This window comes from Homo sapiens, chromosome 7 (genome assembly GCF_000001405.40).
Source record: "Homo sapiens chromosome 7, GRCh38.p14 Primary Assembly".
Taxonomy (NCBI): Eukaryota; Metazoa; Chordata; class Mammalia; order Primates; family Hominidae; genus Homo; species Homo sapiens.
In genome coordinates this window covers 138612822-138629186 of record NC_000007.14, presented here as the reverse complement: position 1 = coordinate 138629186, position 16365 = coordinate 138612822, and the positions used below count along the sequence as shown (strand labels likewise).

The 16365-nt window shown below is 43.6% G+C and overlaps 1 protein-coding gene and 1 non-coding gene across 11 annotated transcripts in view; both read left to right on the top strand.

The window, feature by feature from the left end:
- The window catches only part of SVOPL (SVOP like), a 107078-nt gene that overhangs the window by 72176 nt on the left and 18537 nt on the right, over positions 1-16365 (top strand). For 8 of the 10 annotated variants that reach the window (NM_001139456.2, XM_011515797.3, XM_024446655.2 and 5 more), the window contains 4 exons: positions 824-1029; positions 1726-1837; positions 3137-3218; positions 8052-8141. In NM_001139456.2, coding sequence (NP_001132928.1) covers positions 824-1029; positions 1726-1837; positions 3137-3218; positions 8052-8141 — 490 coding nt within the window. The remainder of the gene's footprint in view (positions 1-823; positions 1030-1725; positions 1838-3136; positions 3219-8051; positions 8142-16365) is intronic. The other 2 variants (XM_047419888.1, XM_047419887.1) reach the window with 1 other exon arrangement.
- LOC124900246 (small nucleolar RNA SNORA40) lies at positions 3999-4127 on the top strand. The gene has a single exon (XR_007060661.1). It is a non-coding gene; the product is annotated as a small nucleolar RNA SNORA40 (small nucleolar RNA).

Below are 16365 nucleotides of genomic sequence, written 5' to 3'. Positions count from 1 at the left end.
GTATATTTCCAGCAAATTATATATACATATATACACACACACACACACACACACACACATATATAAAACATGCTTATATATTAGACATATCATTTTTTCAACAGGAAAAAATAACCCAGTTTTTTAAGTTTTTAAAAATTTTTGAAGTTTTAAAATTTATTTATTTTATTTTGCACTTGTAGAGATGGGTTTTGCTTTGTTGCCCAGGCTGGTCTCAAACTCCTGGCCTCAAGCAATCTTCCTGCCTTAGCCTCCCAAAGTGCTGGGATGACAGGCATGAGCCACCATGTTCGGCCAACAGCCCAATTTAGAAATAGGCAAGAGACTTGAACAGGCGCCTCACCAAAAACATATACCAGATAAACACATCAAAACATGCTCAACCTTAAAGTCACCAGAGAAATGCAAATTAAAACCCAACAAGATACCATTACAAATCCGCCAGTCCATGAGAATGGCTAAAATGAAAGACTGACAATACCAAGGGTTGAGAAGGAGGCAAAGTAACTGGAACTTTCATACACAGCTGACTGGAGTTCAAATTAGTACAGCCACTTTGAAAAACTGGAGGTATCTATCACAGCTGGAAATATGTGTATACTATGGCCCGGCAATTCTGCTCCTAGGTTTACACCCGACAGGCATGTGTACATCTGTATGATGTGTAAGAGACACTTCCACGAATGCTCTGTGTGGCGTCTGAGCCTGGCTTTCTGCTCTCTTTGCTTTCCACATGCTACACGTTCCACTTGGTATCCCCTCCCCACTCATCCTTCAGGTCTGGTGTCAGCGTTGGCTAGTGACTTTGTTTTCTCTCTTCCAGGCTTGGAATCTCTTTTGCCTACTATGGGGTTATCCTGGCCAGTGCTGAGCTGCTGGAGCGGGACTTGGTCTGTGGTTCAAAGTCAGACTCTGCGGTGGTGGTGACTGGGGGGGACTCAGGGGAGAGCCAGAGCCCCTGCTACTGCCACATGTTTGCACCCTCTGACTATCGGACCATGATCATCAGCACCATCGGTGAAATTGCTTGTAAGTGTCCCTCTGCGTGTTGGGTCTCTCTGTCTTGGGTGGTCTATGTGCACTTGAGTCTTAGCTGAGAGAAGTGTGACCCTGTGACACCGCTCCTGCCTAGCAGAACTGAATAAGTTGCCAAGTAGTGCTGAAAAATCTCCAGTTTGGATTGGTGTTGGCAAGAGAGGTCTGGAGGAGTAGACCTTTGAAGTGCTGTATTCTATCAATTGTAAGGTGTTTTTTTCACCCTTACATTTTAACATCTCTGAAATTGGCATGTGGCTTACAATGGCTTGTTAGATAGCAATTGACAGCATTATTTCTATTTTAGTAGACATAAAATGATGGTACTTAAAAATCAATGGCTGAATGTTAAACTGAGCTGATGAAAAAAAATCAATGGCACCTTGAATTTGATGAAAACATATAAAACACTTAAAATACAGGCCTAGCAACTGGCAATCTACAATAGACCTGTATGATATAATAAGTATTCTGGGCACCAGTGCTTATCATTCCTGGACCCACGTGGGTAAAGTATATGTAAAAAGTCTTGAAATTGATGACAACGTGACTGGATTTTGGCTGGAATACTCGTGAGGTTTGGATGAAGTTGCTTCTTTCTGAAACGACAAGGATGAATCCATGCCAGTGTTGCAATATGCCACTTGCCTTCCAAGGTTCCAGAAATTATCTTTACTGTTTGCTTTCTAGTGAATCCTTTAAATATACTGGGCATCAATTTCCTGGGAAGACGGCTGAGCCTTTCTATTACCATGGGATGCACGGCTTTATTCTTCCTTCTCCTCAACATTTGCACTTCAAGGTATTTTCTGTTTAATTGCTTCAGATTTTGTGCAGTGGTTTCTAAATGGAGTCTCCTGACCCATGGTGTTCAGTAGTTTCAGGGACAAGTCACTTTCACCCAGGAGAGTAGAGAATGGGCTGCTTGCTTGACTAGAATGGTCTTGCCTGTTCCCTACTATCCCCGCTTCCCTCTTCCTACAGACCCCATCTTCCTCCAGCTATCACAGGATTATGGGTGCCAATGATGGTGTACTCACTTTACCTACCAAAATATTGAGGATCATTATGTAATGCTTCCTGGAGAATCGGGACTCTGGTTGTTTATTACATTATTTGAACCAGTGCCAAGAAAGTTTAGTAATACAGACAGTGTGCTTATTTGTGCCTTCTGCTCATTTCACTCCTAAATTGCAGTCCTGGAGTGGCCTGAGCTCTGATATGTATCATTTGTTCTACAAGCTCTCTGCACTATTTTCCAGGGGATGGTAGCAGCAGGTGTGCTAATTTTTTTTTTTTTCTTTGAGACAGGTTCTCTCACCTTGTCACCCAGGCGGGAATGCAGTGGTGCGATCTCAGCTCACTGCAGCCTCTAACTCCTGGGCTCAAGCCATCCTCCTGCCTCAGCCTCTTGAATAGCTAGGACTACAGGCACACACCACCATGCTGGGCCAATTGAAAAAAAATTTGGTGACTCACACCAGTAATCCCAGAACTTTGGGAGGCTGAGGCAGGTGGATCATTTGAGCCCAGGAGTTCAAGATCAGCTTGGACAACATGGCAAAACCCCATCTCTACAACAAATACAAAAATTAGCTGAGTGTGGTTGTGGATGTCTATAGTCCCAGCTACCCAAGAGGCTGAGGTGGGAGGATCACTTGAGCCTGAGAGGCTGAGGCTGCAGTGAGCCATGATTGTGCCACTGCACCCAAGGCTGGGTAACAGAGCCAGACTCTGTCTTAAAAAAAGTCTTACTATGTTGCTGAGGCTAGTCTTGAACTCCTGGCCTCAAGCGATCTAGCTGCCTCGGCCTCCCAAACTGCAGGGATTACAGGTGTGAGCCACTGTGCCCAGCAGTTATGCTAATGTGAGGGGCCAGGGTGAATGGCAGCGTTGGGGAATGGAGAAGGCAGTGGGAGTAAGATTGGAAGGAGGTTTGCTTAAGGACCCCACAATCAGGCCAGCTGAGAAGCAGCACCTCCCTCGGGTTCTGAGTTATCTGTGATTGTATCTCAGCATCCACAGTGCACTCGAAGCTGGGCCACTGGAGGTGGTCCTCCATGCTGCCTTTTATAATTTCTCTCCGCTTCCTGTTTTCTAGTGCCGGCCTGATTGGCTTCCTCTTCATGCTGAGGGCTCTGGTAGCTGCAAACTTCAACACCGTCTACATTTACACAGCTGAGGTGAGTTTTCATGCAAGGCTTGCTTACAAAGGGTGTGTAAGGTGAGCTACTTAGGATGTCCATCCAAAGGTAATGCATGCCTGGCTTCTGTTGACTTTTGATGATTTTCTAAAAACAATCTGTTAAAAAGACACCAGAAGTTTATTTGATATGAATTTCCCCTTCCCCACTCAGTCTATTGAAAGCCAATCTCTGGAAGATAGGATCTTTTTCCTTTCTTTAAATAGCATGCATGTAAAAAACACCTCCTTGCCCTAGCACTAGGCTTCCAGAAGTAATAGGTAGCAACATGTTGCATTCAAATGTAGAATTTCCTTTCTCTCTTTTTGAAATTAGAATACACTTTTCACTTTTACTCTTTTGGAAGATCCCTTTCCTTCCATCTGTTATTTGCTGCATGTAGCTTAAATTTAAATATAATCTTGATTTATTCTTTATTAATTTATTGAATTAATACATCTATATGCAAGGTACTGCCTGAGGTAGCTGGAGTATTTCCTCATAAACCTCCCACTTTAAACAACTAATATTCCTAGAAATGAAACAATATTTGAATAGGGAACTTAACAGTATTTTAACTGGTTTTGTCATTCGTTGAGCTACAGGAAACAGTACTTTAGATACTGATAAAGCTGCCTTTCAGGTTCATGGCAGGAAGTGGGGAAGTCTATTGCGATTAAAGATTTGGCATGTCAAAAACCATTAAACCCGCAGAGAAAAGTACTTTTTCTCCCACACAGAGATAAAAATAGAAAGCTATGAGATGTTTGAATTATACATAATACTTCATTTAGTTCCATTAACAAAATCTAAAGTTGATTTATAGGCAGGTACAAAAAAATCAATCCTCTTTTGCAATCCAGAACTCATTGTTCAGTATAAGTTTTGCTACAAATAAGAAGGGGTATTATGATGCCTGAGACACTTTAAAATGATTGGAGTATTGATAACCATAAACGTTGGTTCCAGGCTGGGCGCAGTGGCTCATGCCTGCAATCCTTGAATTTGGGAGGCTGAGGTGGGAGAATCACCTGAAGCCAGGAGTTCAAGACCAGCCTGGCAAGGAAACCAAAATGCCATCTCCACAAAAATTAAAAATTAGCCAGGGATGGGGGCATGTACCTGTAATTGTAGCTACTTAGGAAGGGGAGGCTGAGGCAGGAGGATTGCTTGAGTGCAGGAGTTGGAGGCTGCAGTGAGTTCTGATGGCACCACTGCACTCCAGCCTGGGCAGCAAAGTAAGACCATGTCTCTAAATTAAAAAAAAAAAAAAAAGTTTGGTTCTAGGGCTATAGAATAGAGAATTTAAAAGCATAATATATGAGGAAAATCTCAGCTATCTCAATTTTGTATTCCAATTTCGTGTTGACTTGATATATCAAGATGACTTTTTGTTTTAAAGGCTTTTATCTTCAGAACATGATGTCTGGGGTTAAATGTATTGACATATTCCACAGGTCTGTACTGTTCTTGAGCTGTGATAGCTTAGGAATGAATATGATTTGAACTCAAGCATATTTACAGATGGCATCAAATGGAGAACAAGGCAGATCCACCTACTCCAAAAATGACCCTAAAGTAAATTGGTTTAAGAAATTAGATCCCAAAGATTTCTGGTGAATTTTGAAGACTTCATCAGTATATCCATATTAAAAGGAGATGAAAGAAGCCAAAATAAAAGAATTATGGGCTGACAGGACAACTGGATTAAGCATCAGTTCTATTAAAAAGGGCTAACTTGAAGATTTTTTGACAATAAATTTTACTCCAGCTCTGTAGGGGAACTAAGGTGAACTTGATGGACAGTGGAAGGAATTACAACATGAAATTCCTGGAATAAAAATTAATCGGCTGGGTGCAGTGGCTCACGCCTGTAATCCTAGCACTTTGGGAGGCCGCGGCAGGTGGATCCCTTGAGGTCAGGAGTTTGAGACCAGCCTGGCCAACATGGTGAAACCCCGTCTCTATTAAAAATGCAAAAATTATCCAGGCGTGGTGGCAGGTGCCTGTAATCCCAGCTACTTGGGAGGCTGAGGCAGGAGAATCGTGTGAACCTGGGGGGCAAAGGTTGCGGTGAGTCGAAACCGAGCCACTGCACTGCAGCCCGGTGACAGAGAGACTCCGTCTCAAAAAGAAAAAAAAAATTATTGACTTTAAATAATTTTGCATAGTTAAGAAAATAATTTTGCATAATTAAAAACAAAAACAAATCTAAAGTTATTTTGTAAATTTATAAACCAAAAAAATCTATGCGTAACATGGTGTACTTCTAGAACTGCATTTGGGATGTACAGTCAAACATATTGTGGAATTTGCTCATTTTGAGGGTCATTTCTAAGTATTTTATTTGATTTTATTTTTTTTGTTTTGAGACAGAGTCTTGTTCTGTCGCCCAGGCTGGAGTGCAGTGGCGCGATCTCGGCTCACTGCAAGCTCCACCTCCCGGGTTCACGCCATTCTCCTGCCTCAGCCTCCTGAGTAGCTGGGACTACAGGTGCCCGCCACCACGCCCGGCTAATTTTTTGTATTTTTAGTAAAGATGGGGTTTTACCTTGTTAGCCAGGATGGTCTCAATCTTCTGACCTCATGATCCGCCCGCCTCGGCCTCCCAAAGTGCTCGGATTACAGGCGTGAGCCACCGTGCCCAGCCAGTATTTTATTTTTTATATTGTTTTTTAAAAGAGGTGTGTAACTAAAAATGATAGTTTTCTGTTATTCCATCTTCCAGATGACTCACAATGTGAAAAAAGACTTTATCAGTATTATAGCAAAGAAGCCATCATCTGAATTCATTATTTTCAGTCAGAGCAACCTCATTTTTCAGAAAATAATAAAGTTCCCCATAAAGATATTCCACCCCCAGACCTTCTCCTGTAAATATAGCAGTGTCCTGTGAGGCGGAAAGCATCTTGCTTTTTGCATTTGACAGATGGTGGCAAAGATGTGGGCAACTAAAGGGGGCTATATGCTTTGCCTTAGAGAGTTGATAAAACTGTTTTGCCAGTATTTTATAGCACTAAGAAAATGTTCCAACATTTTGAGAAACCATTCTTTCCTAGAAAGTATTCTCCCTACAATTCTATTTATTCAGGAAGACTTGCTGACTTATTAAACTTCTAGTTCCTTTAAGAATTCTGAATCAATGAAAAACCAATTAATTAGATTTTACTATAAATATCAAAAAGTTGCAGCAAGAAAGTAGAATATGGCTGGGCATGGTGGCTCATACCTGTAATCCCAGCACTTTGGGAGGCTGAGGCAGGAAGATCACCTGAGCCCAGGAGTTTGATACCAGTCTGGGCAACATAGCGAGGTCTTGTTTCTGTAAAATAAAAATAAAAATTTAATAAAATGTTAAAAAGGGCTGGGCATGGTGGCTCACGCCTGTAATCCCCACACTTTGGGAGGCTGAGGCAGGCAGATCACCTGAGGTCAGGAGTTCGAGACCAACCCGGCCAACTTGGAGAGACCCCCCGCCCGCCGCTGCCTCCACTAAAAATACAAAAATTAGCCAGGCACGGTGGTGCATGCCTGTAATCCCAGCTACTTGGGAGGCTGAGGCAGGTGAATCGGTTGAACCCAGAAGGTGGATGATGCAGTGAGCCAAAATTGCACCATTGTGCTCCAGCCTGGGCGAAAGAGTGAGACTCTGTCGATAGATAGATAGATAGATAGATAGATAGATAGATAGATAGATACATAGATAGATAGATACATAGATAGATAGATAGATACATAGATAGATACATAGATAGATAGATAGATACATAGATAGATAGATAGATACATAGACAGATAGATACATAGACAGATAGATACATAGATAGATACATAGATAGATAGATACATAGATAGATAGATAGATAGATAGATAGATACATAGATAGATAGATAGATACATAGATAGATAGATACATAGATAGATAGATACATAGATAGATAGATAGATACATAGATAGATACATAGATAGATAGATACATAGATAGATAGATACATAGATAGATACATAGATAGATAGATACATAGATAGATAGATACATAGATAGATACATAGATAGATACATAGATAGATAGATAGATAGATAGATAGATAGATAGATAGATAGATAGATAGATAGATACATAGATAGATAGATACATAGATACATAGATACATAGATAGATACATAGATAGATAGATAGATAGAATATGCTGTTAAGATTCTGCAACAGCAAAGAGGCTAGGGAATTTAACAAGAACACAGGGGCCAGGTATGGTGGCTCATGCCTCTAATCCCAGCACTTTGGGAGGTTGAGGTGGGTGGATTGCTTGAGGCCAGATGTTCAAGACCAGCATGGCCAACATAGTAAGATCCCATCCCTAATTTTAGAAAAGAAGTAAAAATAAGAACACAGGGAATGGTGTGGCAAGTACCTGGCCCTCTAGTTAGTTCTCTTAGCTGTATTTGTATTGAAGACTTCATCAGATCTCTGGGGAGTATTTTCTTCCCGTTCAGTAGAATCACTTTTATATATTTATAGTTCTGAAGTGGCACTCTTCTCTCTGATTCCAGAGCTTGTCTTTCTAAAATTATATTTGGAATCTTCAGTGAAGCACATTTTTGGAATTTGCTCATTTAAAGGATAATTTTGAAGTGTTTATTTTTCGCTGATATTGTCCCAAAAATTCAAAGTTGTGTACCTGAGAAAATCAACACCTTCTATTCCATATTCTGTAACTGTGTTTGGTGCTCTATGCATTCCAAAACCTGACCTGGGGAGGAAGGGGAAGAGGAGGGCTCGGGGAAGGACGGACATTATCTGACTGGTACTTTCCGTGCCTCTCCCTGCAGGTCTACCCCACCACGATGCGCGCTTTGGGGATGGGAACCAGCGGCTCCCTGTGTCGCATTGGTGCAATGGTGGCACCATTTATATCCCAGGTACAGCCAAGGACCCTGCAGGGAGAGAGAGAGTCTGAGAGAGGGGGTAAGAGGAACCCAGGGACCTTCAGATTAAAGGCAGAACGGAGGATTTCTGTTGACTTCATGAGTTTTCTGGAGGTGCCGTTTCCCTGCTGTTTGGTGGATTTAGGTAGAGAGAGAGGCTAAATCTGCTACCAGGCTTTCAGCCTTCCAGTCGGTAGTAGGCATTGCATTGCGTTCAGGGTTTGCTCCATTTTAAAATGGGTATTACTGGGGGAAGATGGAAAACAATGGTTAACACGAGAAGCTTGGGCAGTTGAATGACAGTGGGCACTAACCCTGAGTTAGAATTGTTGTCTGGTCAGTTGTCCAGGTGGCAACTGTAAAACAGAGCCCGAGAGTAAGGGCAGGTTCAGCTGAGGGGCAGGGAGGTGGTGTGGGGCACAGGTGAGCCAGGCTTAGGCTGGGATAAAATCCAGGGTGACTTGGAGCCGTGGATGGAGGCTTGTTTCAGGAGAAACAACAGAGGCAGGTATGGCGACCCTGGGGGTCGTGGTTCCTCAGAGGGCTATGGAGCTTGCTGCTTTGCACTTGTCAGTCTTTTTTTTTTTTTTTTTTTGGCTGCAAAGAAACAGAAATCCAGACTGGGGTGCGGTAGCTCATGCCTATAATCTCAGCACTTTGGGAGGCTGAGGTGGGTGGATCACCTGAGGTAAGGAGTTTGAGACCAGGCTGGGCAGCATGGTGAAACCCCATCTCTACTAAAAATACAAAAATGAGCTGGGCATGGTGGTGCTCTCCTGTAGTCCCAGCTACTCAGGAGGCTGAGGCACGAGAATCACTCGAACCCGGGAGGCAGAGGTTGCAGTGAGCCGAGATCGCGTCACTGCACTCTAGGCTGGGCGAGAGTGAGACTCTATCTCAAAAAAAAAAAAAAAACAAAACAGAAAAAAAACAAAAAAGAAAAAAAAAACAGAAATCCACATGACCTGGCTGTAGCAAAAAAAGGCAGGAATGAGGCCGAGCCCAGTCTGGGAGTGGGGGCACTGACAGGGGCCCAGGCTCTGTCCTCTTTCTCTGTCTGGTGCCTGTGGTCACTCATTTCCACCTGAGCATGCAGGCTTTCCTCCTCCCTGAGAACCAGGGTGCTGTGCTTGCCTGTGCATGTGGCAGCTCCACAAATCCCGAACACAAACCCTTCGCTCTGGCCTCTGGAAGACACTGATTAGCTCTCTCTGAATCCCGAGATAGAGACCCCCATTGGTCCAGTTGTCCATGCTTGAGCTAACTCAGTTGTGGCCCACAGTCAGGGTTATACATAAATGCAGCTGGCAGAGGTGAAATGACAGAGAGCGGGAGTTGGGATGGGCTGAGCAGACTTTATCAGGTATTTCCCACAATTTAACACAGGGATTTTGCTATCATGAATTTTTTAAAACTATCTTGGGAATGTTTTCCCCACCTGTCTTTTTCACTTTTTTTTTTTTTTTTTTTTTTTTTTTAACATCTGAGAAACCAAGCTAATCCCCACCTGTCTTAAAGAAAAATGGGGATGCCTTTTGTCTGGTGCTTTTACTTTTCAAAATTCCTTAATACTTATTTCATCATTTTCAGAAAAGAACCTAGAGATGAAAAAAGTTGTCATTTTTTTTTTCTTTTTCCAGAGACAGGGTCTCGCTCTGTCGCCCAGGCTGGGGTACAGTCATGGCTCACTGCAGCCTCAATCCCCCCAGGTCCAAGGGATCCTCCCACCTGAGCCTCCCCAGTAGCTGGGACTACAGGCATGCACCACCATGCCTGACTATTTATTTATTTATTTTTAGAGATGGAGTCTCACTATGTTGCTCAGGCTGGCCTCCAACTTCTGGGTTTAGGCCATCCTCCTGCCTTGTCCTTCCAAAGTGTTGGGATTACAGGTGTGAGCCACTGCACCCTGCCAGTAGTAAAACATTAACCCTATTTCTGGATGACTGAACTGAGGCTTAGTTCATTTTCCAAGCTTTCATTAGGAATTGAGTTCTTGACCACCTGGAACATTTTCCCTGGGCATTTGTGGGTATTTATCCCAGAGGCTATGCTGCTGTTGGTGGGTTTGTGGTTTAGGAAAGAACCCAGCTGGGACCAGGTCTCCTGGGGCCGTAATGCCCTGCTCTGTTTAGCCTCCTGTAGCCCACCTGGATTCTTAACTCCTTGTAATTCTCAGTTATATTTTTCTGCTACCCTCCCTTCATTTATTTTCATTTTCATTTTCTTTTTGTTTTCTTTTCCTATCTTTCTGTTTCCTTCCTTCCTTCTTTTTCTTTTTTCTTTCTTTCCTTTTCTTTTTCCTTCCTTCCTTCCTCTCTCTCTCTCTCGCGCGTGTGCACGCGTGCTCTCATTCTCTCTCACTCTTGCGTGCTCTCTCTCTCTCTGTCTCGCTCTGTCACCCAGGCTGGAGTGCAGTGGTATGATCTTGGTTCACTGCAACCTCCGCCTCCTGGGTTCAAGCAATTCTCCTGTCTTAGCCTCCCGAATAGCTGGAATTACAGGCACCCACCACCGCTCTTGGCTGATTTTTTGTATTTTTAGTAGAGACGGGGTTTCGCGATGTTGGCCAGGCTGGTCTCAAACTCCTGACCTCAGGTGATCGGCCCGCCTCGCCTCCCAAAGTGCTGGGATTACAGGTGTGAGCCACCGTGCCCAGCCTGCTACCCTCCTTTCTAAAGTGGAGATAAAGAATAGCACCTACTACAGAGTTTTGCTCTAAGGATGAAATGAGATGAATAAATGTAAAGCAATTAACCCAATGTTTGACATACAGTAAGCACTCGGTAAATGTGAGCTAATATTATCATGATGATCAATAACGGTCAAGGTGAAACGCTATTCCAATGGATACTTCTCAATAATTTAACTTTGGAAAGTATTGTTGTATCAATTTCTGTGCAATCGAGATGCTCTGCTTTCCTTAACAGGTTTAGATTGGGGAGGTTTCGAATCTGGGAAGCTTTGTGCCAGCTCCTAGGATATTTGCCTCGGTTTAGGGTGGTGTGAGCTGCTCCAAGTAGACAGTAGGGTTTGGTGTCACTTTCATGAGCTAATTAGTCACTTTCCTGAAAGGTAGTTCTCAAACTTTAGTGCTTCTCAGAATTACTAGGGTAACTTGATCACAGATCCTTGGATTCCACTCACAGATGCCGATTGTGTAGATGGGATCAGTTACCTACTTTCCTCCCCACCTCCACCTTAAAGATAAGGTCTCACTGTGTCACCCAGGCTGGAGTACAGTGGCATGATCAGGGCTCACTACAGCCTCAACTTCCTGGGCTCAAGTAATCCTCCCACCTCAGCCCCACAAGTAGCTGGGACTACAGGCATGTGCCACCATGCCTGGCTAATTTTTTTGAATTTTAGTAGAGATGAGGTCTCACTGTGTTGCTCAGCCTGGCCTTCCAAGATCCTCCTACCTTGGCCTTTCAAAGTGCTGGGATTACAGGTGTGAACCGCTGAGCCTGGCCTCAGTTACTTATATTTTTAAGTATCCCCAGCAAATCTGATGCAGCTGATGGCGGGCCACCCTCTGGGGAGGCACAGCTATCAATAGGGAGGACTGGGAGATGAGTTCTTCCTTTCACTTAATTCTTCCTCTTGTTCTTCCACTTTTTCTTTTTCCTTCTTCTTGCTCCTCCTTCTTATTTTTTTGCCTAAAACATGCTGTTAAACCAGTTAAACTAAAAATTTTAATCAGTAATATGTTTACATATCCTAATGACTATAAGCTTAATACAAAAGTCTCTTTTAAAATGAATGTTTCAGGCTGGGCACAGTAACTCACACCTGTAATCCCAGCACTTTGGGAGGCCAAGGTGGACAGATCACATGAGGCCAGGAGTTAGAGACCAGCCTGGCCAACACGGTGAAACCTCGTCTCTACTAAAAATATAAGAATTAGGCCAGGCGTGGTGGAGGGTGCCTGTAATCCCAGATAGTTGGGAGGCTGAGGCATAAGAATCGCTTGAACCTGGGAGATGGAGGTTGCACTGAGCCAAGATTGTGCCACTGCACGGCAGCCTGGATGACAAAGCGAGACTCTGTCTCAGAATAAATAAATAAATTAATTAATTGAATGTTCCAGCCAGGCATGATGGCATGCACCTATAGTCCCAGCTACTCAGGAGGCTGAAGTGTGAGACTTGGTTGAGCCTGGGAGTTCGAGGCTGTGATGAGCTATGTTTGCACCACTGCACTCTAGCCTGGACAACAGAGTAAGACTCTGTCATAAATAAACAAATTAATTAATAATAATTCACCCACTGAAAAACTTTAAGAACATTTTAAGATATTTAGTTGTTAGAAACTAATGATAGTAAAAAATAATAGTAGTCATGAGTATGTAGTCCAAGAAAACAATAAAGGAAAATTTTGCAACAAAAGTATTTAAAGATTCAGGGCCAGGTGTGGTGGCTCATGTCTGTAATCCCAGCACTTTGGGCGGCTGAGGCCGGTGGATTACCTGAGGTCAGGAGCTCGAGACCAGCCTGACCAACATGGAGAAACCCTGTCTCTACTAAAAATATAAAATTAGCTGGGTTTGTTGATGCGCGCCTGTAATCCCAGCTATTCGGGAGGCTCAGGCAGGAGAATTGCTTGAACCTGGGAGGCGGAGTTTGTGGTGAGTCAAGATCATGCCATTGCACTCCAGCCTGGTCAACAAGAGCAAAACTCCATCTCAAAAAAAAAAAAAGTATTAAAGATTCACTGAAACACAGAAGGGACCAGTGCAAGGCCTCTGCCAATAGGTCAAGGGCTGCCTCCGCACTTATTCTGGGAAACTTCAAGAGATCAGTCACTTTAGCCCTAGCTAGGTGTCTTAGTTCAGGCTGCTATAGCATGTACCACAGACTCTGGGTGGCTTATAAAAACAGAAACTTATTTCTCATAGTTCTGGAGGCTTGAAGTTCAAGATCGGGCACCCACATGTTTGGGTTCTAGTGAGGGCTCTCTTCTCGGCTTGGAGACAGCTACCTTCTTGTGTCCTCACATCCAGAAAGAGGGGAAAGAGTTTTTTCTGGTCTCTTTTATTTTTATTTTATTTAAAAATTTTTTTCCTTTCTTAAACTGGGTCTAGTGAGGGCTCTCTTCTCGGCTTGGAGACAGCTACCTTCTTGTGTCCTCACATCCAGAAAGAGGGGAAAGAGTTTTTTCTGGTCTTTTATTTTTGTTTTATTTTTTAAAAAATTTTTCCTTTCTTAAACTGGGTGGTACATCTGTGATCTTTTTTTTCCTCCCCCAGACGGAGTCTCACTCTGTCGCCCAGGCTGGAGTGCAGTGGTGTGATGTCGGCTCACTGCAACCTCCGCCTCCCAGGTTCAAACAGTTCTCCTGCCTCAGCCTTCCAAGTAGCTGAGACTACAGGCACCTGCCACCATGCCTAGCTAATTTTTGTATTTTTAGTAGAGATGGGATTTTACCATGTTGGCCAGGCTGGTCTCAAACTTTTTTTTTTTTTTTTTTTTTTTTTTTTGGAGACGGAGTCTCGCTCTGTCACCCAGGCAGGATGGAGTGCAGTGGCACGATCTTGGCTCACTGCAAGCTCTGCCTCCTGATTCACGCCATTCTCCTGCCTCAGCCTCCCGAGTAGCTGGGACTACAGGCGCCCGCCACCACGCCCGGCTAATTTTTTGTATTTTTAGTAGAGACCGGGTTTCACTGTGTTAGCCAGGATGGTCTTGATCTCCTGACTTCGTGATCTGCCCATCTCGGCCTCCCAAAGTGCTGGGATTACAGGCGTGAGCCATCGTGCCCAGCCTTGTGATCTCTTTTTTTAAGGACACTAATTCCATTCATGAGTGCTCCACCATCATGACCTGATCATCCCCAAAGGCCCCACATCCAACTGTGATACCATCATATTGAGGATTCCACCTATGAATTTTGGAGGGACAAAAGCACCCAGTCCATAACACCAGGCATTCCTTGGTTCAGTGACGTGTGCACTGCTGGAACCTACTATGGATGTTAAAGTCCTTTCAGCATGTCCATGGCTTTGGGATTTACCCTAGGCTTGCAGCACAGGCCCTGACAGCCTCACGGTGTGCGGCTGTGATTTGGGTAATGCAACCAAGACCTCTCCCTGTGGCCAGACTTCACATGGTGTTTTCATCAAATGAGATGGTCCAGCATCCAAAAAAAGCATTGAAAAGCATTTAAAATCTCTATAAAATCTCCTCAAAGAGATGTCAGTGGAAAAGCCCATTTGTGACTCGAGCAAAACTTTTAAACAGCCTCTTTGCCTGACTCACTTCCGTTGTCGTCAGTCGCATAGCTGTCATCCCCAAATCTCCAGCCTCGTCCCTTCAACCTTATCACCCCTTTGAAGTTCAAATGCCAGCCGGGCGTGGTGGTCCACACCTGTAATCCTAACACTTTGGGAGGCTGAGGTGGGTGGATCATTTGAGGTCAGGAGTTCAAGACCAGCCTGGCCAATATGGTGAAACCCCATCTCTACTAAAAATACAAAAATTAGCCAGGTATGGTGGCACACGTCTGCAATCCCAGCTACTCAGGAGGCTGAGGCGGGAGAGTCACTTGAACCCAGGAGGCGGAGGTTGCAGTGAGCTGAGATCGCGCCATTGCACTCCAGCCTGGGCAACAGAGTGACACTCTGTCTCAAAAAAAAAAAAAAAAAAAAAGTTGAAATGCTGCCAAAATTCAGCGGAACTAGCCTTGTACAAACTCTGATATATTTGCTTGTCTTCTCTGCTTTTTCTAGCTGAAATCATTCAGCCTTTCAGGCTTCAGAAGAGAGCAAAGTAGACAAACAGAGACTCTGTTAGGAGGAAGGAGAATTCCTTAATTCAGGGTCCTATTTTGGTGACCATTCAGTAAGTTCTTTCTGGAGTAATTCTCTACAAGTTTTAGAGGACTTCTTATGTAGTTTGGCAGTTAGAGCACCAAAAGAGACTCAATTAGCTGCAGTCTATTTGTTAGCATAGAATCAAGAATTATTTTATCCCAACTGAATGTTCAAAACATTTATTGAACTTGTCCTCTGTGCCTGCCATTGTTCTAGTTCTATTTATTTGCAGTAATCAATAAGCCAGATGAGGTGCCAGTGGTGTGCTGGAGCTGGCCTGGACTCACTTTTGAAAGCCGATGGTTAAATTTTCAGGAAAAATCGCAAACTGGTTAATGTCACATTGTTGAAATTAGTCATGGTGCTAGTGTGTACACTGTGGAAATTGACAAATGATGTAAGTCAGGGCCTTGGGTTTTTTGAGAACCTGTTGTTGAACATTTGACAGCACACCACCACAAGGTTCCTGCCCTCAAGAGGCTTACATTCAAGTTGGGTACTTTATCAATATGCAATTAATGTAAAATAATTCCAGATTGTGATTAGTGCTTTGGAGGTACTATGGTAATGAGTAAAAGGGGTGACAGGCTTTTTTAGGTAGTCCTCTCTGGGAAGGTGATACTGAAGTTGAGATCTGAAATATGAGAAGTTGAATGCTGTGTAAAGGGAAACAGCATTTCAAGTAGAATGACTGCTGGTTTGAGGGCCTCGAGGTGGGACAGACATCAGTGTGTTCCAGGAATAGGAAATAGCCATGGTGAGCCAAATGGAGAGAAGTGCAGGGGCAGAATGTGCCTTCCAGGCATATTAAGGACTTTAGATTTTTACCTTAGGAGCAGTGGGGAAAACTTTAAGGGTTTTAAGCAGGTGAGGGATATGATCAGTTTTGTTTTTTAAAAAGATCACTCTGGCCTGTCACGGTGGCTCATGCCTGTAATCTCAGCACTTTGGGAGGCCGAGGCGGGTGGATCACCTGAAGTCAGGGGTTCGAGACCAGCCTGGCCAACATGGTGAAACCCCATCTCTACTAAAAATACAAAAATTAGCCAGGCGTGGTGGCACGCGTCTGTAGTCCCAGCTAGTTGGGAGGCTGAGGCAGGAGAATCGCTGGAACCCTGGGGACAGAGGTGACAGTGAGCCAGGATTGTGCCGCTGCACTCCAGCCTGGCTGACAGAGTGAGACTCTGTCTCAAAAAAATAAAAAGATAATAAAAAGATCACTCTGGTTGCTTGCAGAGAGTAAATTGGAGGAGGGAAAGGGTAGAGTAAGCTTATAAGACAACTCTCAGTTCACATTGCCATGTATTATTGCCATGAAAGAGGAGATTTCAGAATTCTGGAAAACCCTTTCTATTATAGTATAAAGATATAGGAAAACATGGTAAACCTGACTGCGTAAAAAATTTA